At 43.6% G+C, this 26314-nt stretch overlaps 1 protein-coding gene across 10 annotated transcripts in view, besides 5 other annotated features; it reads left to right on the forward strand.

Moving 5' to 3' along the window:
• The window catches only part of CECR2 (CECR2 histone acetyl-lysine reader), a 198203-nt gene that overhangs the window by 11605 nt on the left and 160284 nt on the right, over nucleotides 1-26314 (forward strand). The window lies entirely within an intron of this gene.
• Nucleotides 3922-4872: an enhancer, noted in NCBI's record as "H3K27ac-H3K4me1 hESC enhancer chr22:17855418-17856368 (GRCh37/hg19 assembly coordinates)". NCBI's record gives its function as "activates a minimal SCP1, AML or CMV promoter by ChIP-STARR-seq in naive H9 embryonic stem cells {active_cell/tissue: H9 hESC(naive)}" and the evidence as "EXISTENCE:reporter gene assay evidence [ECO:0000049][PMID:30033119]".
• Nucleotides 4873-5820: an enhancer, noted in NCBI's record as "H3K27ac-H3K4me1 hESC enhancer chr22:17856369-17857317 (GRCh37/hg19 assembly coordinates)". NCBI's record gives its function as "activates a minimal SCP1, AML or CMV promoter by ChIP-STARR-seq in naive H9 embryonic stem cells {active_cell/tissue: H9 hESC(naive)}" and the evidence as "EXISTENCE:reporter gene assay evidence [ECO:0000049][PMID:30033119]".
• Nucleotides 7599-8276: an enhancer, noted in NCBI's record as "H3K27ac-H3K4me1 hESC enhancer chr22:17859097-17859774 (GRCh37/hg19 assembly coordinates)". NCBI's record gives its function as "activates a minimal SCP1, AML or CMV promoter by ChIP-STARR-seq in naive H9 embryonic stem cells {active_cell/tissue: H9 hESC(naive)}" and the evidence as "EXISTENCE:reporter gene assay evidence [ECO:0000049][PMID:30033119]".
• Nucleotides 8273-8442: an enhancer, noted in NCBI's record as "experimental_62431 CRE fragment used in MPRA reporter constructs". NCBI's record gives its function as "activates a minimal promoter by MPRAs in K562 erythroleukemia cells, with activity observed for both the introgressed and non-introgressed 22:17859856 variant alleles {active_cell/tissue: K562}" and the evidence as "EXISTENCE:reporter gene assay evidence [ECO:0000049][PMID:34662402]".
• Nucleotides 9045-9605: an enhancer, noted in NCBI's record as "NANOG hESC enhancer chr22:17860543-17861103 (GRCh37/hg19 assembly coordinates)". NCBI's record gives its function as "activates a minimal SCP1, AML or CMV promoter by ChIP-STARR-seq in naive H9 embryonic stem cells {active_cell/tissue: H9 hESC(naive)}" and the evidence as "EXISTENCE:reporter gene assay evidence [ECO:0000049][PMID:30033119]".

Raw genomic sequence — 26314 nt, forward strand, 5'->3', positions numbered from 1 at the left:
GTTACTCTGATGTCCTGTGTTTTCTTTCAGTTGGTACAAAATCGTGAGTAGTTTAATTATATCCTGCAGTCAAAATGGTGGCTGTGGTGGGAGGTGCCGCCTGTGACAGGGCCATCTTGGGTGCTGGTAAACTTGCACCTAGTCCCTTTTCTTCCTTGCGAGATAAAGTTGAGGTGGTGCTGGGATTATGAGTTCAGAGTTTAAAGACCCATCCTAAAAATATTGTTGGAAAAACTTTATGTCTCAAAATCCATGTATTCCCATTTTGTTGATGAAAAGCTAGAGGTAACTCATTTTGCCTTAAGTACTCGCAGCATATTTAGAGTAACCTGTAAATAACTTGTCTTCTGTTATAAGCAATAAACTTGTGGTTTCTGAGAATTAGCTGGTTTAATTCCTAAAGGAAATGTAAACTGATTAAAGAGGTCAAATTTATATGTATAACATGAAAAATCACTGTAGTTTACATGGTGAATAATCAAGGCTATTTGATATGACTGTCCTCTCTTTTGACTCCAGTGTTTCTTGGAAATGACACTTTTTTGGGGCTAAAATACATGCTGTTTGAAATACATGCAACAGAAATGAATATTTGGCTTCAAACATGCAGGTTTTAAGAACTATCCACACTCGTTTTTATTTGGAGATGTTCAGTCAGTGGATAACAAAGTGACTTTTCTCACCTGCAGTTTTTGTCTAATCCATCTCAGGTATGTTTTGATATGGCTAATGGAAATTTTAACTTACGCTTTTTAGTAGTTATCAAAAATTAGAATTTTATTGGGAATGATTATATGTGAGATTTAAAAATTAAGATTTAAGAATGTATTTTCTCGACTCGGTGGCTCACCCCTGTAATCCCAGCACTTTGGGAGGCCGAGGTGGGTCGATCACCTGAAGTCAGGAGTTCGAGACGAGACTGGCTAACATGATGAAACCCCGTTTCTACTAAAAATATAAAAAGTTAGCCAGGCATGGTGGCGCGCTCCTGTAATCCCAGTTACATCCGTAGGCTGAGGCAGGATGATCGCTTGAACCCGGTAGGCGGAGGTGGCAGCGAGCCGAGATCGTGCCATTGCACTGCAGCCTGGGCGACAGGGCGAGACTCTGTCTCAAAATAAATATATTAATTAATTAAAAGATAAAAAATTCAAATGCCGAGCCGTACCTGTTAGGCCATGTGGAAGGGCCCTACAGTCTTAATTTTCTGCAACTTTAAAAGGTAAAAATGATAAATAATAGCAAGTAGTAGAAGTTGGGTATCAGTTATTTCAGGAAACCAGTTTTCAGCTGTGGGAAAGATCTCACCAGGCTGAACTCATGGATTTATAGAAAATTGAGGAAGCAGAGTCTTCAAGGACTCGGCTTCCATTTATCTAAAGTGAAGCAATCTCTAAGACAGGTGAAGGGCTGGCAGGATTCATGCCCCACTTCTCCAAGAGATTAAGACCTTCCACTTAGAAAACTGTCCCCAAAACGTGGATATTTTTATTTTTGTGTGTATTAAATAAATTTTTTGTTTTTTCTGAGACGGAGTCTCACTCTGTTGCCCAGGCTGGAGTACAGTGGCGCGACCTCGGCTCACTGCAACCTCCACTTCCCAGGTTCAGGTGATTCTCCCGCCTCAGCCTCCGGAGTAGCTGGGACTACAGGCATGTACCAGCACACCCGGCTAATTTTTGTATTATAAAAAAACTTTTTACTCTATTAATCAACCTTGAATATACAGGATTGCTTTAGAAGAGTCAACGAATACTTGGTTCTTAGTTTTAGATAAGAAACCTGCCAAGTATATAATAGTAATGCCTTATCTCAGTTCAAAATTCCTAGTTGTAAAAATACTAAAAAAAAATTATATAAACGTGAAAATTATCATAAAATACAGGTAAAAATTAAAACCACCCATGGTCACCAATCAGGGATAAAAGTTAACTGTTAACATTGTATCCTTCCACTCAGGGATAAAAGTGATTCACTGTTAACATACTTAGAAATTCCTAAATATGCCCGCAGTGTAATTGTTCTGTAGGTTAGATGTTTTTGCTTTTCAGATGAGATTGAGGTATAGCTGGAAAACAGATGAATGACACTGAATTCAGTAGTTGATATAAACAGATGAATGACACTGAATTCAGTAGTTGATATAAACAGATGAATGACACTGAATTCAGTAGTTGATATCATTAAGCCCCTACTTTGTGCTTAACATGGAACTTGGAAATTTACCAAAGAAGCTCTTACCTGGCCTCCTTTGCCTCAGAAGATTATCTGTTAATATTTCAGAACCAGCAATTTTATACCACTTCAGTTAAATCAAGTATTTTATAATTGTTTAACATTCTAGTGGCTTAGGTTGGCTAAGTTTTGTCCTGATTCAAGAAAAGAAGAAAGGCTAATTGACCTCTCCAAGATTTACTACTGTTTTCCCCCTAGCCAAATGCGCTGTACAGTAAATACAGTGTCTCACTTGAGTAAGGTAAGGGAGGACAGAATGATTTTCAGTAATCATGATGGATGTGGGGCTGCATTGGTGTCTGTAGGTGGCCGTTGCAAAATGGTCGTGTAGAATTATTTGAATGGTTTGTATAGTAGCAGCATGATGAAAATAATCTGTCCTGTCTACCTTTTTTCCTGAGTGTCCTGCCTTTGAGTACTTAATCCTTTGCCTTCCTTGTGTCTCCTTCCTGGTTGTGTTTGTACGTGGGTAAGATCTCTTACCTAATCAGCATGAGATCTAGGGGCAATATTCAGATTCTTGAATTCCACCCTTGGTGCATCCTTGAAGAATCCAGCCCCTTAATCAAGTGCTGAATGCATGGATTGTTAAACATTAAGTAATAGAAATAGCTAAAAGAAACTTGTAAGTACATCCATCATATCAGTGGTTCCTAAACCTGGCACCAGGGTAGGAGACTTTGTTTTGGTGTACGTGTGTGCACTTTGCTGGAGGAGAGGGCCTATTGCTCTCATCACATTCTGGAAGCAGCCCCCAACCCATACGAGGTTAAGAAGCCCTGAACTAGTTGAAAGAGTAAGTTGGCCCCAATTAGGGGTTCAGAAGCCTACTTTTGTGACACAAGATGTGCCGCACTAGGAGTTAGGAAACTTGTATTCTGATTGTGCTGCTGTAACTGACTGTGATTTTGGGCAGGTCAAAATAACGTGATGATAAATGACACTGCGTAGTACTTGGTACATTTTCAAAATGTTATCCCATTTTCTCCTTAGCCGGCCTTAACCATCACCATGAGGCAGGGGTATTCTCATTTCACAGATGTGGAAGTTGAAAGTCTACAGAGGCTAATGCTTGCACAGGGACTCTCACCTGGATCTCAGGTTCTTTGAGGCCAAATTCTGCCTGTTTCTACCACATCGCACTGCTTCTGCAGGTCTTATTATCTTTAAAATGACGGGCCAGACCCATATGGAATGGCCAGATTCCACAGTGCACCTCTAGAGTTCTTTGGCTCTTAATAGTGTGGGGTACAGAAGATCTTTTTAAAAAACTTCTGAACTAAGTGCAAAGGGACAAATTCAAGTATTCATTCATTTATTTCAGCAAATATATATATATTTTTGAGTCAGAGTCTCACTCTGTCGCCCAGGCTAGAGTGCAGTGGTGTGATCTCGGCTCACTGCAACCTCCACCTCCTGGGTTCAAGCGATTCTCCTGCCTCAGCCTCCCAAGTAGCTGGGATTACAGGCATGCACCACCATGCCTGGCTAATTTTTGTGTTTTTAGTACAGACGGGGGTTTCTCGATGTTGGTCAGGCTGGCCTCGAACTCCCGACCTCAGGTGATCCACCTGCCTCAGCCTCCCAAAGTGCTGGGATTACAGGCATGAGCCACTACACCCAGCCAGCAAATGTTTATTAAGCATCTACTACATTAGGCAGTGTACTAGGTGCCGATATGGTTGTGAACATAATAGAGAAATACCTGCTTGCTTTTTAGTGCAATGAGACAGACAATGTATATAATGTCAAAAGGCCCCAAGTAGAGTGGGGTGGAGGCTTGCACAGGGCCATGGTGAGGTGTAGATTGTTGCTGTTTAAAACAGGGTGATTAGTAGGGCCTGCCTGAGGAGGTGAGTGATTTAAAGTGATTTTTAAAATAGTGCTTTGTCGCTGGTGGCTCACGCCTGTAATCCCAGCACTTTTGGGAGGCCGAGGCGGGCGGATCATGAGGTCAGGAGTTCAGGACCAGCCTGACCAATATGATGAAACCCCGTCTCTACTAAAAGTACAAAAATTAGCCAGGTATGGTGGTGCATGCCTGTAATCCCAGCTACTTGGGAGGCTGAGGCAGGAGAATTCATTGGAGCCGGGAGACGGAGGTTGCGGTGAGCTGAGATCGCGCCATTGCACTCCAGCCTGGGCAACAGAGCGAGAGGGAGACTCTTATCTAAAAAAAAAAAAAAATAGTCCTTTGTCACACTAATCTATTTAATGTAACATACTAGAGGATAAAATGCCTTCTAAAGATTCAGGATCTGCACCCTCACCAAGGAGGAAAGCCAAAGAACAGGATGTGAATTACAGAAGGACAGATCTGTGCAGGCTAAGATCCTGAAAGGGGAGAATGTGCTATCATAATGTAACTCTTTAAAAGTGAATACCAGGTCCCCTTTCTATTTATACCCACGCTTTGAAAGGAAAGGCTTGCTGCTTTGGTGTGTGTGTGTGTGCCCACCATGTGAAGCTTCAAAGGCTTCACAGTTGGGATCTTCTGCAGTTTAGAAGGGGCAGCGCCTTCTCATCTCTGAAGGGCGGCCTGCGTTAGCACATGGCTCGCTTTGCAACGGAAGTTAAGTTGCTTAATGTTCTGGAATACACTTAGGAAAGCCTAAAATACACCTTGGCAGCATTCAGTACTACCGATCATCTGCCCCTTTGATCAAGGGAGCTCAGTGTGGGATTCCATGGTGTGCTGGGGCTCGCACAATGCAGTGCGCTTGGCAGAGTGCGGAAAACTGCAGTGCAAAGGTGGTTTAGGTAAAAATGTGGTGTGTGGACAGAGCCAAAGGGGAGCTTCTAAGTACATGGTCTTAGATGTAGTTGATGTGACTAAACACATTTTCTTTTTTTTTGTTTTTTTTTTTTGAGATGGAGTCTTGCTTTGTCGCCCAGGCTGGAGTGCAGTGGCGTGATCTCAGCTCACTGCAACCTCTGCCTCCTGGGTTCAGGTGATTCTCCTGCCTCAGCCTCCCGAGTAGCTGGGATTTCAGACATGTGCCATCTGCCTGGCTAATTTTTGTATTTTTAGGAGAGATGGGGTTTCGCTGTGTTGGCCAGGCTGGTCTCAAACTCCTGACCTCGTGATCCACCCTCCTCGGCCTCCCAAAGTACTGGGATTAAAGGCATGAGCCACCGCTCCCAGCCCCTAAACACATTTTCAAAAGGCAGCAATCAGAAAGCTGGATTGTGGGCCCACCTGTCTTTAAGTTGTGTTCTTAGGCAGATGACTGTGGGTTTCAGGTGCCCCATCTATAGACTCAGTGATTCCTAGGTGTTCCTATGTCTAAAGTTCTGTGATTCTAGAAATGTTTCTCAGCATGCATAACACTCTTAACTAATCTAGAAAATTGCTGACTCACCAGTTAGGGTCAAGGTTAGGATCCACATCTTACAAATTAATTACGTACCAAGTGAAAACTGCAAATCCATACTTGGTGTGTTTGCAAATTATAGGAATTTTTTCTTTCTCTTTCTCTGGCATCTTGTCTGCAAATAAGCTACTTTGAAAGTAGCTTTTGAGACTTGAAGATTGACATGTTCACTATCTCTAGTGTTCTTAAAGTGACCTAAGATTTTGTGCTTTGAGATTTTGAGGAATTCTGGAGGCTGAAGGCATTGAATTATGTGATTCTTACTTCATTTTTTTTTTTTTTTAAAGACAGTATCTCACTATGTTACCCAGGCTGGATTTGAACCCCTGAGCTCAAGTGATCCTCCTGCCTCAGCCTCCCCAGTAGCTGGGACTCCAGGCACATGCCACTGCCTTTGGCTTCCTTTCACTTAGTCTGTTTCTTATATCTCATGTCATCAATAGCTAGAACTCTGAATAAGATCCACTTACAGCTTCTGGCTTGTGGTTTGCCTTTCATTTGCTATTATAACCTTTTCAGATGGCTGCTACCCTTCCTCCATATTTGCATATTTCATGGGATGCTATCCCTTGGATGCTTTTATTATATCTTTATATTAGCCTCTAACAAATATCAGTCAATTTATATTGGAAAACTTGGGGACAGTCATTTTTCAGCAGCTCTTAGGATTGAGAAAGGAATGAATGATTGGAAAGTAAGAGTGAGCTCCAGATTGTGTTCCTTTAATCCTCTGGGTTTCTCAGCCTCAGCACTATTGATAGTTTGATCTGAAAATCTGTTGTGGGAAGCTGTTATATGAGGAATGTTATATGCGTTTTGTTTTGTTTTGTTTTGTTTTTGAGACGGAGGCTTGCTCTGTTGCCCAGGCTGGAGTGCAGTGGCGCTATCTTGGCTCACTGCAACCTCCGCCCCCCGGGTTCACGCCATTCTCCTGCCTCAGCCTCCTGAGTAGCTGGGACTACAGGTGCCCACCACCACGCCCGGCTAATTTTTTGTGTTTTTAGTAGAGACGGGGTTTCACCGTGTTAGCCAGGATGGTCTGGATCTCCTAACCTTGTGATCCGCCCGCCTTGGCCTCCCAAAGTGCTGGGATTACAGGTGTGAGCCACCGCGCTGGGCTGTTTTTTTGTTTTTTTGTTTTTTTGTTTTTGGGAGACGGAGTTTTGCTCTGTTGTCCAGGCTGGAGTGCAGTGGCACGATCTCGGCTCACTGCAACCTCTGCCTCCCGGGTTCACACCATTCTCCTGCTTCAGCCTCCTGAGTAGCTGGGACTACAGGTGCCCACCACCACGCCTGGCTAATTTTTTGTATTTTTAGTAGAGACGGGGTTTCACCGTGTTAGCCAGGATGGTCGCAATCTCCTGACCCCCTCCTCGGCCTCCCAAAGTGTTGGGATTACAGGTGTGAGCCGGCCCACCTGGCCCTCGTTTTAAGATGTTTAGCAGTATTGTTGGCCTCTATGCTCCAGGTGCCAATAGCACCCCCAGTCATGACAAATATAAATGTCTCCAGACATTGCCAAATATGTCCGGCGGGGTGAAATTGTCCTGCTTTTGAGAATCATTACTTTAGTGTGTGAGGTAGAGATGACTTTTCAGTGTTGGTCATTGTATAGAAGGTACACCCTATGTGAGATAGATGAGTTTTTCCTTGTGATGGGCATTTTTTCCCCTAAATGCAAACCTTTAGTATTTTTGTTTATGGAAATTTAAGGAAGTTAAAGTTGCTCCCAGATGTGAATGTCATCAGCAATTGTACATGTCACAAACCTGGGAAACAGATGTTTTGTTAATTTTTTTCTTTCTTTGAGACAGAGTTTTGCTTTTGTGGCCCACCCAGGCTGGAGTGCAGTGGTGCGATCTCGGCTCACTGCAATGTCTGCTTCCCAGGTTCAAGCAATTCTCCTGCCTCAGCCTCTCAAGAAGCTGGTATTACAGGCGTGTGCCACCACACCCGGCTAATTTTTGTATTTTTAGTAGAGACAGGGTTTCACCATCTTGGTCAGGCTGGTTTCGAACTCCTGACCTCCAGTGATCAGCCCACCTCAGCCTCCCAAAGTGCTGGGATTACAGGCCTGAGCCCCCCGCGCCTGGCATTGTTAATTTTTTTCTCTTTCCTAGAACGTCATTTAAGGAAAGAAGAGAGTTTGGGGCTAGTAGGGAGGGAACTGTGAAGCTAACTGAGGCTGATAAAGAAAGGCCTTCCCCTACAAAAGGCCTCCCTGAAGCAGGGCCTGGCTGCCTAGTGCCGCAGGGAGGAGGGGTGAGGGGTGTTTGTGCTGCAGCCTGGGGCTGGAGCGGCTGCCATTGCCTGTCAGGGCACAAGGCTCTTGACAGATCTCTTGAGCATTGAGCAGTGGTGTACTGGGGAGGGCGTTATCCATGACCAGGTCAAAAGTTCAGTGGGACCTACGTTGAAGGTGTGTGTGTGTGTGTGTGTGTGTGTGTGTGTGTGTGTGTGTGTTTGCGATATATGCATATGTAAAGTTCATTATTCCGTCAGAATTTTCAGTGTAGAACACAGCGACCACATGAGCTTGAAGCTGCTCTAAATGTTTTTTAATGATTTTTCATGTTTAATTTTGCTCTCAGCAAGCATGGTGAAATATTTTATGGATTCAAATAGATTTTTATTTTGGTTTGGGGAGCAAACGGTATTGTGAGTGTGACTCAAGCAGTCTAGTGCACTGTGAAGGGCTTTGAGCTTCTTGGAAGAAAGATACCATAGAACTTCAAGGAAATGAGATCACATTATCTGTGGCTTTTGAAGATGTTTTTCATTGAATGTCCATCTCCAAGTCCTTCTTTTCCATCTTGGGGTATTCAATCCCCACAGAGACCCTGTGTCTTGTTTTTTATTCTTTATCTCTTTGGCTGGGAACTAAGGTCTGACCATTGTTTTTTTTTGTTTTCTCTTCTACTCCCTTGTGCTCTACTCATGCCCTAGGGTTTGTTCTGGGCATCAGTGGAGGAGGGGTAGAATTTCTGGCTTGCAGCAAGGTGTTAAATCCGAGAATTTGTGTAAATAAGTTGGTGTGAAGTCAATCAGTTCTACAGCCAAAAGCAGTTTTCTCCTCTTTAGAGGGCAGATGACCCCTCTGAATAATTCTCTCATGTGTTCTTTTTTGTACTTCGTTAGCCATACACTCATTTAAACTGTAATATGGTTTATGCAAAAATATATAGAAGATAGTATTTCATTCTCCTTTTTAAAGTCCCTGACCTCATGTGGCCTTTACAAAAGACATTGGCCGGTTTAAATGATGTCATATGCGTATAAGTTTCACACTGGAATGGTCAGCTTTTAGCTTTGGTTCTACAGCCCAGACTCTTTATGAGCTAAATCAGGTCTACTTTTTCCCTAGGGTGGGTTTGCTGGAGTGACGTGTGACTTGGCATTGTGTCACTGAGGCATGTGGCCACCTGAATTGAATGTGTGAGTGGCTGTCAGAACAGACTGTGTGTACCCTCCCTTGCTCCTCCCCACCCATCACCTCCAAAAGTAAGTGATGAAAATAGAGGAAGCCGTGGGGCCACAATTAAGCTCACTGCTTCACGTTTTCAATGTTGAACTTTAAATCACACCCAATTAATAATTCCTGAGAATGGATAAGTTCTTAGAATTGAAAAATGCTGTTCAGCAGTCTTGTTGACTGCAAGAGTGTTTTCTTCTCCTGGCCGGTTCCTTTTAATGAACAGCCCTACCCTGAGTGTTCATTGTCTCAGCAACAATGGCACTGAGGACAGTTGATTTGCTTGACAGAAAATGTGTTAAATTAACAGATCTACTTCTTTAGCAAATCCTTTCTCTTCTCCATTCCCCATTATGTCTCTCTGTCTTCCTGAAAGGTTGTTTGTGAATTCTTTTAGGTGTGGGGACAATTTTTATAGCAGAGGCCTGGAGTTCTTTGTTCAGGGAACATTGTTGTACACGGGGGTGGGCGGGGGGGAAGGTGCTTTAAAGAAAAAATTTCACCTGTTGTCATAATAAAGGAATTTAATTTTGGATTATTTTCCACTCTTACACTGGCATTGATTTGGGTTAGTATCCACACGAATGTACTGATGCTTTTCACATTGGTTCTGAAAGACTTTCCCCCCATTTTCCTTTGTGGTGTTAAAGCAGCCCCCCAGCCCTCCTTACAGGAATGTTGAAGATTGGGAGGGGGATGCTTGGTTGAGGATGCTTGTGACACGTAACTCTAGACTTTTTTTTTAACACGGAACACTTCACGACTCTGCGTGTCATCTTGCATAGGCCAGTTTTAGTGCAAGTGCTGCTGGAGTGAGTGCATAACCCTGGATTTTCATCGCTTTCAGCAATGGAACCCATCTTCCTTACCCCTGACTCCGCTTGGATTTCTGTAACATGCACATTTTTAAGGTTAAAGTGAAATGTTTTTAAAAAAGGGAAAATCTCAAAACCCAATCAGCCTTCCCTGTGTTATTGTCATCATTATTAATACTGAGGTTGCAGAGGTATGTGGCAGAGTCCCTGTTGTGCTGCTGCCCTGGGGGAATTTGTCTGTCGAAAAGGGGCAGGGCAGCAGTGGTATTGTGAAACCTATGTTGTTTGCCCAGTGAGCGATAGGGAATATAATTGCTGTAAGAGTTCAGAGGAAGGCAGAGATGGCGAGTGAAACGCTTCCTGGAGGAAGCATCATGCTTCTGGGGGTCATGCTGAGTAAGTCAGTGTAGTTAGCTAGGTCAGAGAGCCCCCACATTTTTTTTTTTTGTTTTTTTTGAGACGGAGTCTCACTCTGTCACCCAGGCTGGAGTGCAGTGGCACAATCTTGGCTCACTGCGAGCTCCGCCTCCTGGGTTCACCCCATTCTCCTGCCTCAGTCTCCCTAGTAGCTGGGACTACAGGCGCCTGCCACCACGCCCTGCTAATTTTTTTTTTTTTTTTTAGTAGGGACGAGGTTTCGCCGTGTTAGCCAGGATGGTCTTGATCTCCTGACCTTGTGATCCGCCCGCCTTGGCCTCCCAAAGTGCTGGGATTACAGGCGTGAGCCACTGTGCCCGGCCAGAGAGCCCCTTCCTCATAGAGACTAATAGAAAAAGAGGTTGAGAGAGAGAGATCATAGAGGCAACATTGCAACAAGCCTTGAAGACTGGCCTCACTGGTGATCATTTTTCTTCAGGCAGTGGAGAAACCAAGTTTTAGAGTAAGAAGTCCTGTATACTAAGTGTTTTAGGTTAAATCTGGTTTTGGTAGCTGGAATAGAACAGACTGGAAGAAGAAAGACTAGTTTTAGCTACAGGCACACCTCAGAGATATTTTGGGGTCAGTTCCAGACTATTGCCATAAGGTGAATATTGCAGTAAAGTGAGTCACATGAAATTTTTGGTTTCACAGGGCATATAAAAGTTATGTTCACAGTATACTATAGCCTGTTAAGTGTGCAGTAGCATTATGTCTTAAAAAATAATGTATATACCTTAATTAAAAAATATTTTAGGCTGGGCACAGTGGCTCACGCCTGTAATCCCAACACTTTGGGAGGCTGAGGCTGGCGAATGGCTTGAGCCCAGGAGTTTGAGACCAGCCTGGCCAACATGGTGAAACGCTTTCTCTACTAAAAATACAAAAATCAGTTGGGTGTGGTGGTGTGCACCTGTTGTCCCAGCTATATGGGAGGCTGAGATGGGAGGATCGCTTGAGTCCAGGAGGCGGAGGTTGCAAGTCAAGTTTGCAACACTGCACTCCCCCCTGGGCAGCAGTGAGACCTTGTCTCAAAACAAACACAACAAAACAACTATTACTTAAAAATCCTAGTGATTGGCCAGGCGCGGTGGCTCACGCCTGTAATCCCACCACTTTGGGAGGCCGAGGCGGGTGGATCATGAGGTCAGGAGTTCGAGACCGCCTGGCCAAGGTGGTGAAACCCCATCTCTACTAAAAAATACAAAAATTAGCCGGGCACGGTGGCGGGCACCTGTAATCCCAGCTGCTCAGAGGCTGAGGCAGGAGAATCTCTTGAACCCGGGAGGCGGAGTTTGCAGTGAGCCAAGATCATGTCACTGCACTCTAGCCTGGGAAACAGAGCAAGACTCCGTCTCCAAAAAAATAAAAAAAATCCTAATGATCATCTGAGCCTTCAACGAGTCATAGTCTTTTTGCCAGTGCAGGGTCATGTCTGAATATTCCTTTCATGAAAGATTTCTCCATAGCATGCCATGCCATTTGATAGCATTTAACCCACAGTAAAACTTCTTTCAAAATTGAAGTTGGTCCTCTCAAACCCTGCCACTGCTTTATCAGCTTGGTTTAGAATATTCTAAATCTTTTGTTGTCATTTGAACAATGTTGACAGCATCTTCACCAGGAATAATACATTGTGCCTCAACAAACTACTTTTTTTGTTCATCCATAAGAACCAACTCCTTTTAATCTAGTGTTCAGACCAGGTTAAAAAAGAAAAGAAAAGAAAAAACTCCTCCATTCCAGTTTCATCATGAGGTTGCAGTAATTTAGTCACATCTTCAGGTCCACTTTTTTTTTTTTTTTTTTTTTTGAAGTGGAGTCTTGCTCTATTGCCCAGGCTGGAGCGCAGTGGCAGTACGCTCTCAGCTCACTGCAAACTCCGCTTCCTGGGTTCAAGCAATTCTCCTCCCTCAGCCTCCCGAGTAGCTGGGATTACAGACATGCACCACCACGTCTGGCTAATTTTCTTTTTTTTGGATTTTTACTATAGACAGGGTTTCACTATGTTGGCCAGGCTGGTCTCAGACTCCTGACCTCAGGTGATCCACCTACCTCGGCCTCCCAAAGTGCTGGGATTACAGGTGTGAGCTACTGTGCCTGGCCCAGGTCCACTTCTAATTCTATTTCTTTTGCTGTATCTATCGCATCTGTATTTCTTTCCTCCACTGAAGTCTTGAACCCCTCAAAGTCATCCACGAAGGTTGGAATCAGCTTCTTCCAAACTCCTGTTAATATGGATATTTGGACCTCCTCCCATGAATTATGAATGTTCTTAATGGCATCTAGAATCATGAATCCTTTCTGAGAGGTTCTAAATTTGCTTTGCCCAGATTCATCAGAAGAATCACTATCTATGGCAGCTATTGCCTTACAAAATGTATTTATTTTATTTTTTGTAGAGATGGGGTCTCGCTGTGTTGCCCAGACTGGTCTTGACTTCCTGGCCTCACGCAGTTCTCCCATCTTGGCCTCCTAAAGTGTTAGGATTACAGGTGTGAGCCACTGCTCCCAGCCACAAAATGTATTTCTTAAATAATAAGACTTGAAAGTTGAAATTACTTCTTGATCCATGGGCTTGCAGAATGGATGTTGTGTCAGCAGACATGAAAACCACATTAATCTCCTTGTATATCTCCATCAGAGCTCTTGGGTGACAAAGTATATTGTCAGTTAGCAGTAATATTTTGAAAGTAGTGACTTTTTTCTGAGCAGTAGGTCTCAAAAGTAGGCTTAAAATACTGACTAAACCATGCTGTAAACAGATGTGCTGTTATCCAGGTTTTGTTTTCCCATTTAGAGAGCACAGGCAGAATACATTAGCACAGTTTTCAAGGGCCGTAGGATTTTCAGAATGGTGAGTGAGCACTGGCTTCCAGTAAGTCACCAGCCCCTAAGAGAATCAGCCTGTCCTTTGAAGCTTTGAAGTGGGGCATTGACTTCTCCTCTCTAGCTATTAAAGTCCTAGGTGGCATTTTCTTTCAATAAAAGGCTGTTTCACCTACAGTGAAAATCTGTTGTGTATTCATCCTCGTTAATGATCTTAGCTAGATCTTCTGGATAACTTGCTGCAGCTTCTGTATCCACACTTGAGGCCTTGTCTTGCATGTTTACGTTACATTTCCTAAAGCTTCACGAACCAACCTCTGCTAGCCTCCAACTTTTCTTCTGCAGTTTCCTCACCTTTCTAAGCCTTCGTAGAATTGAAGCGTAAGGGCCTTGCTCTGGATTAGGCTTTGGCTTCAGGGAATGTTGTGGCTGCTTTGATCTGTTCTCCAGGCCACTCAGACTTTCTCCTTATCAGTAATAAGGCTGTTTTGCCTTCTCATTACTGTGTTCACTGGAGCAGTGCTTTTTATTTCCTTCAATAACTTTTCCTTTGCATTCACAACTTGGCTAACTGGCTCAAGAGGCCTAGCTTTTGGCCTGTTTCAGCTTTCAGCACGCCTTCTTCATGAAGCTTAATCATTTCTAGCTTTTGATTTAAAGTGAGAGACATGGTGCTCTTCCTTACACTTGAACACTTAAAGGCCATTGTAGGATTATTAATTGGCCTGGTTTAAATGTGCTTCTGGGAATAGGGAAGCCCAAGGAGAGGGAGACAGGGAACTGGCCAGTCTGTGGAGCAGACAGAACACACGCATTTATCAATTGAGTTTGCTGTTTTATGTGGGCACAATCCTTGGTGCCCCAAAACATTTACAGTTGTAATATCCAAGATCACTAGTCACAGATCAACATAACAGATTTAATAATAATCATGAAAATGTTTGAAATATTGTGAGAATTACCAAAATGCAACACAGAGACATGAAGTGAGCACATACTGTTGGAAAAATGGCCCTGATAGACTTGCTACTCGCAGGGTCGGCACGAAATCTTCAGTTTGTAAGAAATGCAATATCTGCACGTTCAGTAAAGGGAAACACAGTACAACGAGGTGGGCCTGTATTAGAGCGGAAGGGGCATGAACCGCTGATGGTAGTGGTAACAGGAAAGGACATTTCTCACTGGTGCTATTGAAGAAAGAGTAGGTGGGACTGGATGACCCCCAGGGTGGGAGCATGTGATGAAGGTTGCGTCGCTTAGGATATTTTTGGCTGCGAATGATGGAATAACAGTGCCTTCAGCACTGCGGATTACCCTACATCATGTAAGCCGGAGGAATGGGGCTCCTGGCAGGCCAGGCAGCCCCATGGTAGGTGTCATTGAGCCCTCATACGGTGGTACCACTCATGGTCACAGGACAGACTCCGCAGCGACAAGGTCTGCATTGCTGAATGATGCAGAGAAGTATTAGGAAAATGACAACGGAAAAGAGCCTTTGAGTTGGTGATTTGAAGGGGTCAAAGATGACTTCGGAGAAGGGATTTGAGTTACTCTGACCGGAGAGGGAGAGGCTGAGACTTAAAAAAACTTCATTCTGCTGGAAGGAGAGAGGATAAGACCTGTCAAACAGAGAAGCTTAAGAGCATGGTGAGAAAGGAAGGGCGTTTTAAAAAAAAACTTTTTTCACAAAGAATATATAGCGATTGTAACAAGAAGAAGTTAAATTAATCTCAGTTCCTTCATTTGGTGTTGTATTGAAGAGGTCAGTTGTAGGGCCCCCTTTCTCAGCCTGTTTCCAAACTCTGCGCCATGTTTTATACCAGTAATCAATCCCCTTCTTTGTGCCACCGCTCTCTAATTGTTGGGATGTGGTTATGTCACCCTAGGACTGTCAGTTGCTCAGTATTTTAGCTTTCTGTTGAGTAAAATGGAAATGAAAATCCAGCCACAGAAATGTGCCTTTTTTTTTTTTTTTGAGACGGAGTTTCACTCTTGTCCAGGCTCGAGTGCAATGGCGGGATCTCAGCTCACTGCAACCTCCACCTCCTGGGTTCAAGCCATTGCCCTGTCTCAGCCTCCCAAGTAGCTGGGATTACAGGCGCATGCCACCACGCCCAGCTAATTTTTGTAATTGTAGTAGAGACAGGGTTTCATCATATTGGTCAGGCTGGTCTCGAACTCCTGAACTCAGGTGATCCACCCGCCTCAGCCTCCTACAGTGCTGGGATTACAGGTGTGAGCCACTGTACCTGGTCAGAGATGTGCCTTTCTTTCATTAGAATTTTAGATTTATTCTTGTTTGACTGTTGATTGTTTGGAATACTTCAGTTTTTAGTTTCTCTCTGTTACATGTTTAATGTTTTGTAGGACTACTAAATGTTACTTTGTGATCCTTTTGTAATGATAATTTGTATACAAATAAGCTATTCAGGTATTTATGTTCTGTGTTATGTTTAATAACAGGTTCCCCATGCCAGAGGGAGTTACAGCTCAACAGAAAGCCTTCTTTTGTCTCATTTCTCCACTGGTTCTACAGAAATTTTCAGAGGTTATCTGGCAGCTGTACCTGCCCCTCCTTGCCCTTGTCAAGCAAATCTATATCTTGGCCAGTAATCTATAACACATCTCGCAAGAAAAGATGAACTGGGCCAATGAAATTTCCATTCTTGGGAGCGTAACCTAGGAAATACAAGGATTATCGAGTTAGCGTGGAAAAGAAGCTGAAAGGTCATGGTGAGCAGCCACGACACAGCCAGAATCTTACAGATGAGGAAGCAAGCCTGGGAGAGACCCAGCCATAGAGGAATTAACGAGAAGGCCCCGGCTCCAGCCTGCTGGCGTGTGTCCAGCAGGAGCCACCACACCTGAGGGAGTCTTCCATGCCCTGCCCCTCAAAGAGCCTAACACTTCCTCACTTTTGTCTGTGTGCACATAACATGTTAAGTATCTTGTAAACACAAGATCGTACTTTTCTATATGCTTCTGAATCCTGTTCTATTCTGTTGACAGTGTTATATAACAGAATGCCCTTTCAATCACAGCACGCCATGATTTCCAGTAGCTGCAGAATACTCATCGGGTAGAGGGACTCTCATTTAGCCAAGGGGCGTTTGGGTTATCTGTAGTTGTTTACTATCATGACAACCAAGAACCAGAACAATTTTTTTTTCTAAGATAGGATTAGTGTTTTTAATCATTAGACTTCTGTTAGTATTACATTCTATATTTGAGGTTTTAAGTTTTGAGTTTTTTTTTTGTTTGTTTTTTGTTTTGTCCCGAGAGGGAGTCTGTCTCTGTCGCCCAGGCTGGAGTGCAGTGGTGCCATCTGGGCTCGCTGTAACCTCTGCCTCCCAGGTTCAAGTAATTCTCCTGCTTCAGCCTCCCAAGTAGCTGGAACTACAGGCACGCTCCACCATGCCTGGCTGATGTTTATATTTTTAGTAGAGACGGGTTTCACCAAGTTGGCCAGGCTGGTCTCAAACTCCTGACCTCAGGTGATCCGCCCGCCTCAGCCTCCCAACGTGCTGGGATTACAGGCATGAGCCACCGCGCCTGGCCAAGTTTTCTTCATAGTTACTTTTTGTTTTATATTTTATCATAAAAGTTACATGAATTTTGGTGCCATGCACTGTCTCAAGTGTTTCTCATGCCCGAACTGACCCATCTGTTTAATTCCCCCATGAGGCAGGCATCACCATGACAGCACTGTAGGAAACAGGCTCAGAGTGAAGCGATTTACCCAAGGCCGCATGCCCAGCGGGTGGCAGAACCCATACCGGCAGACTTCAGGAAAATGCGGAGGCATTTTTTGGTAAATGAATTGAACAGTACTGCTAGTGAGACAGGAAAACTGACATCCAGTGCGGGTTCTTGAGAGTATATGGGAAGGTGGGTGAGATTAAATTTTAGCTAGTGTCGTGGTATTAGAAAGGAATCTTTTACGCAATTTACGGAGAACACTGAGTCAGGAGACATTTTAGAAGTGAAAGCAATTCAGTTTTTTCTTCACTTGCTTAAATTACTTACAAAATATGTTAATAACTGTTAAGAGCTCCTTTTATCATTTTTCCACTCTACTGTAACTCTGGGTTGGGTTTTTTAAAAACTTTGTTTATTTTATTTTAGTATTTTTTTTTGAGGTGGAGTCTCACTCTGTCGCCCAGGCTGGAGTGCAGTGGCACGATCTCAGCTCACTGCAGCCTCAGCCTCCGGGTTCAAGCAGTTCTCCTGCTTCAGCCTCTCGAGTAGCTGGAACTACAGGCACACTCCACCATGCCCGGATAACTTTTGTATTTTTAGTAGAGACGGGGTTTCACCATGTTGGCCAGGCTGGTCTCGAACTCCCTGAATTCAAGTGATCCACCCTCCTTGGCCTCCCAAAGTGCTGGGATTACAGGTGTGAGCCACTGCGCCCGGCCTTAAAAACTTTATTTTTAAGTAATGTCAGACTTAACGGAAACTTAGAAGGCTGGTACACAGAATTCCTAAGCTCCCTACCCAGATTCCCCACGTGTTCAGTTTTACACCATGTGCTTTACTGCCATCTCCCTCTTTCTCCCCACCAAGCTATCTTCATAGTTACTTTTTGTTTTATATTTTATCATAAAAGTTACATGAATTTTGGTACCATTCTCTTCTGTCTCCCAACTGCCTGCCTGCCTGTCCGGCTAGCTAGCTAGGCATCTCTAGCTGTGTAATTACTGTTTTTCTACACTGAGAATAAGTTGAAGACGTGATACCTTTCACTCCTTGACATTTTAGTGTTTTTATGACTTAAAAACATTGTTTTTTTCTTTTGAGGTGGGGTCTCACGCTGTGTTGCCCAGGTTGGTCTTGAACTCCTGGGCTCAAGCAATCCTTCTGACTCAGCCTCCCAAGTAGCTAGGACTACAAGCATGAGCCGCCACGCCCAGCTCGGGGATATTCTTTTTTATTTATTTATTTATTTTTGAGATGGAGTCTCACTCTGTTGCCCAGGCTGGAGTTCAGTGGCACGATCTTGGCTCACTGCAACCTCCGCCTCCTGGGTTAGAGCAGTTCTCCTGCCTCAGCCTCCCAAGTAGCTGGGACTACAGGCATGCGCCACAACGCCCGGCTAATTTTTGTGTTTTTAGTAGAGACGGGGTTTTGCCATGTTAGCCAGGCTGGTCTTGAACTCCTGACCTCAGATGATCCGCCCACCTCGGCGTCCCAAAATGCTGGGATTACAGGCATGAGCCACTGTGCCTGGCCGGAATATTCTCTTATACATATAAGTACAATTATTAAAATCAGGAACTTAATACTGAGTAAGATCTGTAGATAATAGTATATCAAATGTTGCCAATTGAGCCAATAATATATATAATTTGTACATTATTTTTATGAATTTTAAATATATTATTATTTTAGAAATTGTTTCTGGTTCAGGTTTTCAGTCTAGGATCAGGCATTCCATTAGTTGTTGAGTCTCTTTAGTCTCCTTTAAAATAGAGCCGTTTTTCAGTGTTTGTCTTTCTTGAGCTTGACCTTTTTGGAAGACTAAAAGCCATTCATTCTATTGACGGTCCCTCCACTTGGGCTTGTTGGAAGTCCTCTCAGGATAACTTGGGTCATGTGTTTTTGGCGGGAGTGCTGAAGAGGGCCGTGCCCTTGGTGCATAGTATCAGCAGTTACATCACTTTCATTGTGCCCTTTATTGGTGGTGGTTACTAACTTTGATCACTTGGTTAGGGTGATGTCTGCTTTCCACTGCAAAGTTACTGTTTTTCTCTTATAATTAACAAGTACGTTGTGGGGAGATACTTTGCAAACATCCTGTTTCTTCTCCAAATTAACCCGTTAGGAATTGCCTGAATCAGTGATTACATCACAGTTGCCAGATTCCTTTTTACAAGTTGGCGTGCAGTTTTCATCCATAAAGTTTAAGCGTTTGATTCTAAACCAGGTGTTTTTATTTTGTTTTGTTTTGTTTTGTTTTTTGAGACAGGTCTTGGTCTGTTGCCGAAAGTGGAGTGCAGTGGCACCATCATAGCTCAGCAGCCTCAACCTCGCCGGTCCCAAAGTGCTTGAATGACAGGCGTGAGCCACCACTCCTGACCCAAAACCATTTGTTTTTAATATCTGATAAAAATATAATTTATAAAAAGACTTTGATTTTTTTAACTTTGAAAATTAATCTAAAGGAGATGAACACTGATAAACAATGTTCAGAAAGTGAAATTACTTTTTAAAGCTTCAGCTTTTTAAAGCTTTTCCTATTTTATTTTGAGAATTTTCAGATGTTCGGTGAAGTTCAAAGATAAGTGAACCCCTGCGTACCCTTTACTCTAGATGTACCAATTGTTAACACTTTTGCCACATTGGCTGAACCATTTGAAAGTAAGTCGACTGTGTCATGAGAGTCTACCCCTTCATAGTTTCACATGTACATGTACTTCCTATGAATAAGGACTTTCTCTTGTATGACCACAATGTTATACTCACATTTAGGAAAATTAACAGTAATTCTGTAATAACATCCAGTAAACAGTTCACACTGAAATATCCTCAGTTGTCCCCACAGTGTCTTTTATAGATGTACCACACCTCCATCCTGGTTTACACACTGGTTGGTTGGTAGGGGAATTGTTTTTAGGCAGGCTGAAGCCAACCCAGTTATCCTAGATGTAGGGAAACCGGGAAACATTGGTAAAATGATTTAAATTTCAAGCTGCAGGGCTACTAGTGAAGTAATTACAACAGAGAGTTGATTGGAATCACTCTGGCTCCGGTCCAGGCTTTGCCCAAGGTCTGGACCTGTCACTTAGCCCTGTTGAGCCTCAGCTTGTTCATCTGCATCTTGGTTGTCTCGTGTTCCATAGGGCTGTGGTGAGGTTCGAATGAGCCAAGCATGTGAGGGCCTGGCCCAAATAGATCTCAGCAACTGGTAATTATTGTTACATTTTCTTTCATTTTAGATTTTGATTATGGTAATAATATGGAAATTATAATCATTTGGGAGAAAGGAATTAACTGACAAATAAATTGAATGATCACATATTATTTTGAAATCAAAGTATAATGAAATAAAATTGTAAAAATATACCAATATAGTGTGCTTATGTGGATTAAAGTGATTGTTGAATACAGATGCTTTTGTTTGTTTGAGACGGAGTCTCACACTCTTACAGGCGGGAGTACAGTGGCGCAATCTCCGCTCACTGTAACTTCCGTCTCCCAGGTTCAAGCAATTCCCCCGTCTCAGCTTCCCGAGTAACTGGGATTACAGGCATGCGCCACCACACCCAGCTAATTTTTGTATTTTTAGTAGAGACGGGGTTTCACCATGTTAGCCAGGCTGGTCTCGAACTCTCGAACTCCCAAACTCAGGTGATCCACCTGCTTCGGCCTCCCAAAGTGCTCGGATTACAAGTGTGAGCCACCGCGTCTGGCCGAATACAAATGTTTTTTGTTTAAAAAAATAAGCGTGGCTTGGTAGCTCATGCCTGTAATCCCAGTCCTTTGGGAGGCTGAGATGGGAGGATTGCTTGAGGTTAGGACTTGGAGACCAGCCTGGGAACATAGTAAGACCGTGTCTCAACAACAAAAAAAATTTTTAATTGGCCAGGCGCAGTGGCCAGCCTGGCCAACATGGCGAAACCCTGTCTCTACTAAAAATACAAAATTACAGGCATGGTGGTGCATGCCTGTAATCCCAGCTACTCAGGAGGCTGAGGCAGGAGAATCGCTTGAACCTGGGAGGCGGAGGTTGCAGTGAGCCAAGATCGTGCCATTGCACTCCAGCCTGGGCGACAGTGAGACTCCGTCTCAAAAATAGAATAATAAAATAAAACAAAACCAGGCATGGTGTTGCATACCTGTAGTCTCAGCTACTTGGGAAGCTGGGCTGGGAAGATTGCTTGAGCCAGGGAGGTGGAAGTTGTTGAGTCAGGGAGATGGAGGTTGCAGTGAGCCGAAATTATACCACTGCACTCCAGCCTGAGTGACAGAGCAAGACCTTGTCTCAAAGAAAAAAAAAAACAGCTTTATTGAGATATTATTTACATACTATACAACTCATTCATTTAAAGTGTTCAACAAGTAGGCCGGGCACGGTGGCTCACACCTGTAGTCCCAGCACTTTGGGAGGCCGAGGTGGGCAGATCACAAGGTCAGGAGTTCAAGACCAGCCTGGCCAACATGGTGAAACCCCGTCTCTACTAAAAATACAAAAATTAGCCAGGTGTGGTGACACCCGCCTGTAATTCCAGCTACTCGTGAGGCTGAGGCAGGAGAATGGCTTGAGCCCAGAAGGTGGAGGTTGCAGTCAGTTGAGATCACGCCACTGCACTGCAGCCTGGGTGACAGAGTGAGACTCTGTCTCAGAAAATAGTGTTCCAGTTAGTGGGTTTTAGTATATTTACAAATAGTTACAACTGTTGCCACCGTAACCATACCTTTATAAGGTTTTCATCACCTCAAAAAGAAACCCTGTACCCTTGAGCTCCCTGCCTCCCCAGCTCTCCCTACCTCTTGTTTCCCCAGCCTAAGCAAATTACTCTCTGCTTTTATAGATTTTCCTTTTTGGGCCTTCATAATGAGTAGAATCATGTAGTATGTGCCCCTTTGTGATTGGATTTTTCATTTAGCATAATGTTTTTAGGTTTCATCCAAGTTGTAGAAAGTATCAGTATATAATTCCTTTTTATAGCTATATTTAAAGCTATACATTGTATATAATAATTTTTATTTTATTTACCCATTGGTGGACATTTAGGTTATTTCCCCCTTTTGGCTATTATAAATAATGCTGCTCTAAACATTTGTGTGCAGGTTTTTGTGAGGACATGTGTTTTCAGTTCTGTTAGGTATGTACTAAGAAGTGGAATTGGTGGGTCATACAGTAACGAGGCTTCACCTGTGAACTGCCTGGTTATAGAGTGGCAGCACTATTTTATGTGCCCATCAGCAGTATATGAGTGTTCCAGTTTCTCCACATCCTTGCCAACACTTATTATCTGACTGGTTCTAGCCATCCTAGTTGGTGTGAAGTGGTTTCTCCACCTGGTCTTGATTTGTACTTCCCTCATGCTTAATGATGTTGAGCACCTTTTCATGTGTTGCCATTTGTTATATATTGTGTGGAGAAATGTCTGTTCACATCCTTTGCCAGTTTTAAAAAATGGGCTGTTTGTATTTTCATTATTGAGGTGTAAGAGTTCTTTTTTATTCATTTTTTTTTTTTTTTTGAGACGGAGTTTTGCTCTTGTTGCCCAGGCTGGAGTGCAATGGCGCGATCTCAGCTCACTGCAACCTCTGCCTCCCGGGTTCAAGCAATTCTCCTGCCTCAGCCTCCCGAGTAGCTGGGATTACAGGCATGCAGCACCAGGCCTGGCTAATTTTGTATTTTTAGCAGAGACAGGGTTTCACCATGTTGGTCAGGCTGGTCTTGAACTCCCGACCTCAGGTGATCCACCTGCCTCAGCCTCCCAAAGTGCTGGGATTACAGGCGTGAGCCACCGCGCCCAGCTGCTGCCGCTGCTTTTTTTTTTTTTTTTTTTTTTTTTTAAGACGGTTTCTGGTTCTGTCGTCCAGGCCAAAGCAGTGGCATGACCATAGCTCACTGCAGCCTTAAACCCTGGGCTCAAACAGTCTTCCCACCTCAGCCTCCTGAGTGGGTGGGAGTACAGATGTGTGCCACCATGCCCAGCTAAGTTTTTTTCTATTTTTTTTTGTAGAGACAGGGTCTTACTATGCTATCCAGGCTGGCCTTGAACTCTTGGCCTTAAGTGATGCTCCTGCGTAGGTTTTCTAAAGCTTTGAGCGTGAACCACCACACCCAGCCTAGGTTCTTAGTTCTGTTCCATTGATCTATATATCTGTCCCTGTGCCAGTACCACTATGTCTTGATTAATGCTGTCTTGTGAGTTTTGAAATTGGGAAGTGTGAGTCCTCCTCCTTTTTCAGGATTATTTTGGCTGTTTGGGGTCCCTTTGGAATCAGTTTTGTCAATTTCTGCAAAGACATCCACTGGGATTTTGATAGGGATTACATTGACTCTGTAGTTGAGTTTGGACAGTGTTACCAATTTATCAATGCTAAGTGTTCCAATCCATGAGCATGAGATGTTTTTCCATTTATTTAGATCTTTGATTTCTTTCAACAATGTTTTATACTTCTCCAAGTATAGGTTTTTTTGCTGTTTTTGTTAAATTTATTATTTTGATCTTGTTGTGAATAGAATTGTCTTATTTCATTTTCAGATTGTTCATTGAAAATTGTTTTTTAAAAATCAATTTTATTGAGCTATAATTTAAATACATCAAATGCATTCCTTTTAAGTATGTAGTGTGAGTTTTGGAAAATGCATGGATCCTTGTACCTACCATCAATCAAGATACAGAGCATTTGTATCTAACCCCAGTGTTGCCTTGTGTCCCTTGGCGGTTGACCCCATCCCTACTCTGGTCTCAGGCAATCACTTATGTACTTTTTGTCACTGTAGATTAGTTTACCTTTTCTAGAATTTGCTATCCATAGAATCTCTTTTTTGGCAGAGACGAGGTCTCACTCTATTTCCCAGGCTGGTTTCAAACTCCTGAGCTCAAGGAATCCACCCACCTCTGCCTCCCAAAGTGCTAGAATTACAGGTGTGAGCCTCCGCACCCGGCTCGAATAGAATCTTACATATTCTCTCTTTTTTTTTTGAGATGGAGTCTCGCTCTGTCGCCCAGGCTGGAGTGCAGTGGCACAATCTCAGCTCACTGCAACCTCCACCTCTTGAGTTCAAGTGGTTCTCATGCCTTAGCCTCTCAAGTAGCCGCGATTACAGGCACACGCCACCATGCTGGGCTAATTTTTGTATTTTTAGTAGAGACAAGGTTTCACCATCTTGGCCAGGCTGGTTTCTAACTCCTGATCTCAAGTGATATGCCCGCCTCAGCCCTCCCAAAGTGCTGGGATTACAGGGGTGAGCCACCGTGCCCAGCTGACATTTGACTCTTAAATACTTAAGCACGCATTGAGTAGGAATATTATCCTGTACGACCACTTAACATTCATATTTCTACAGAAAAAAAATTTTGTAATATTGTCTAATGCAAGTCCAATTCCAGATTTTTTTCCCTTATCACAAAAAGTTCATCATGGTTTTTATTTTGTTGTAAAAGGGTAATAAGTTGTTTATTTTTATATTATTGATTAGAAATAATTTATTTGCATTAATAAAAGTATCATGAATATTCTTTCTCATTCCTGGGTTCTTTCACTTTCTAAAAACATTTTTAATTAAAAATATTTTGAGACCAGGCGTTTTGGCTCATGCCTGTAATCCCAGCACTTTGGGAGGCTGAAGTAGGTGGATCACTTGAGTTTAGGAGTTGGAGACCAGTCGGGGCAATATATCGAGACCTCGTCTCTACGAAAATAAAAAAAAAAACAACTGGCTGTGGTGGTGCGTTACTGCAGTGCCAGCTACTTGAGAGGGTGAGGTGGGAGGATTGCTTGAGCCCAGGAGGTTGAGGCTGTAGTAAGCCATGATCATACCACTGCACTCTAGCCTGGGCGACAAGAGTGAGACCCTTTCTCAAAAAAAAAAAAAAAAACAAGGCCAGGCGCTGTGGCTCACGCCTGTAATCCCAGCACTTTGGGAGGCCAAGGCGGGTGGATCACCTGAGTTCAGGAGTTTGAGACCAGCCTGGCCAATGTGGCAAAACCCCGTCTCTACTACGAAATACAAAAATTAGCTGGGTGTGGTGGTGGGTGCCTGTAATCCCAGCTACTTGGGAGGCTGAGGCAGGGAGAATCGCTTGAACCCGGGAGGCGGAGGTTGCGGTGAGCCGGGATTGCACCATTGCACTCCAGCCTGGCGACAGAGCGAGACTCTTGTCTCAAAAAACAAACAAACTGTGCATCACTTTGTTAAAAGGAAATTTTATGTAGAAACTGAACATATAAAATGGGTAAGAGTGAAGCACTGTTTGAAAATTGCTGTGGTAATGGCAGTTAAAGTTTAAGCAGGGCTGAGTGATGTGGTTGAGTGTTTAGAACATTCCTGGTATATAACCTGTGTGCAATAAATATTTGCTGAGTGAATGGAGAAGTAATCTCTGCAGAGTAGAAAGATCACTTCACTGTTAGTATAGAATGAACAGCCCAGAACCAGAAGGACAAGTTATGAGGGTAGGTGAGAGATGACAGGACGTGAAGTAGAAAGGATAACACATCTAATGAGAGCATGGATTTGAGAGTAGGAGACAGAATTAACTGCATGTGGTTGGACAATGGCTTGTGAGAGAGGAAAAGCCTAGCACAGTGCATCTTCAGGGCAGTGTCATCCCGAGGCAGTGTTGTGGGAATCTGTGGCAGTTAGTGGGTGGGACCTGCATGCTAGGTGTTATACAGTGTTACATACAATGCATGGGACATTCTCCACAGTGAAGAATTTGCTCCCTCCTAAAGAGCTTTTTTTTTTTATTTATTTTATTTATTTATTTTTGTGAGACAGATTCTGGCTCTGTCGCCCAGGCTGGGTTGCAGTGGCGTGATCTCAGCTCACTGCAACCTCCACCTCCCAGGTTCAAGCGATGATTCTCCTGCCTCAGCCTCTCGAGTAGCTAGGATTACAGGCACACACCACCACACCTGGCTAATTTTTTGTATTTTAGTAGAGGCGTGGTTTCAGCCAGGCTGGTCTCGAACTCCTGACCTTAGGTGATCCACCCGCCTTCGCCTCCCAAAGGGCTGGGATTACAGGCATGAGCCACTGCATCCAGCCTTGAGCTTTTATATAGGTTAAAAATTTGTATTTGAATCTAAATCCAAACCCTACGTATAAACACAAATTATTATTATTTTTTTTAAGACGGAGTCTCACTCTTTTGCCCAGGTCAGACTGCAGTGGCGCTATCTCTGCTCACTGCCATCTCCGCCTCCCGGGTTCACCCCATTCTCCTGCCTCAGCCTCCCGAGTAGCTGGAACTACAGGCGCCCGCCACCACGCTCGGCTAATTTTTTGTACTTTTAGTAGAAACGGGGTTTCACTGTGTTAGCCAGGATGGTCTCGATCTCCTGACCTCGTGATCCGCCCGCCTCGGCCTCCCAAAGTGCTGGGATTACAGGTGTGAGTCACCGTGCCCGGCTAACACAAATTAATTTCTGTGGTGTTTTAAAATAAATGGAAACTTTTAGTAATGCAGCTGTGGTGTGCATGT

The sequence above is a fragment of the Homo sapiens genome, chromosome 22, assembly GCF_000001405.40.
Source record: "Homo sapiens chromosome 22, GRCh38.p14 Primary Assembly".
NCBI classification, from domain to species: domain Eukaryota; kingdom Metazoa; phylum Chordata; class Mammalia; order Primates; family Hominidae; genus Homo; species Homo sapiens.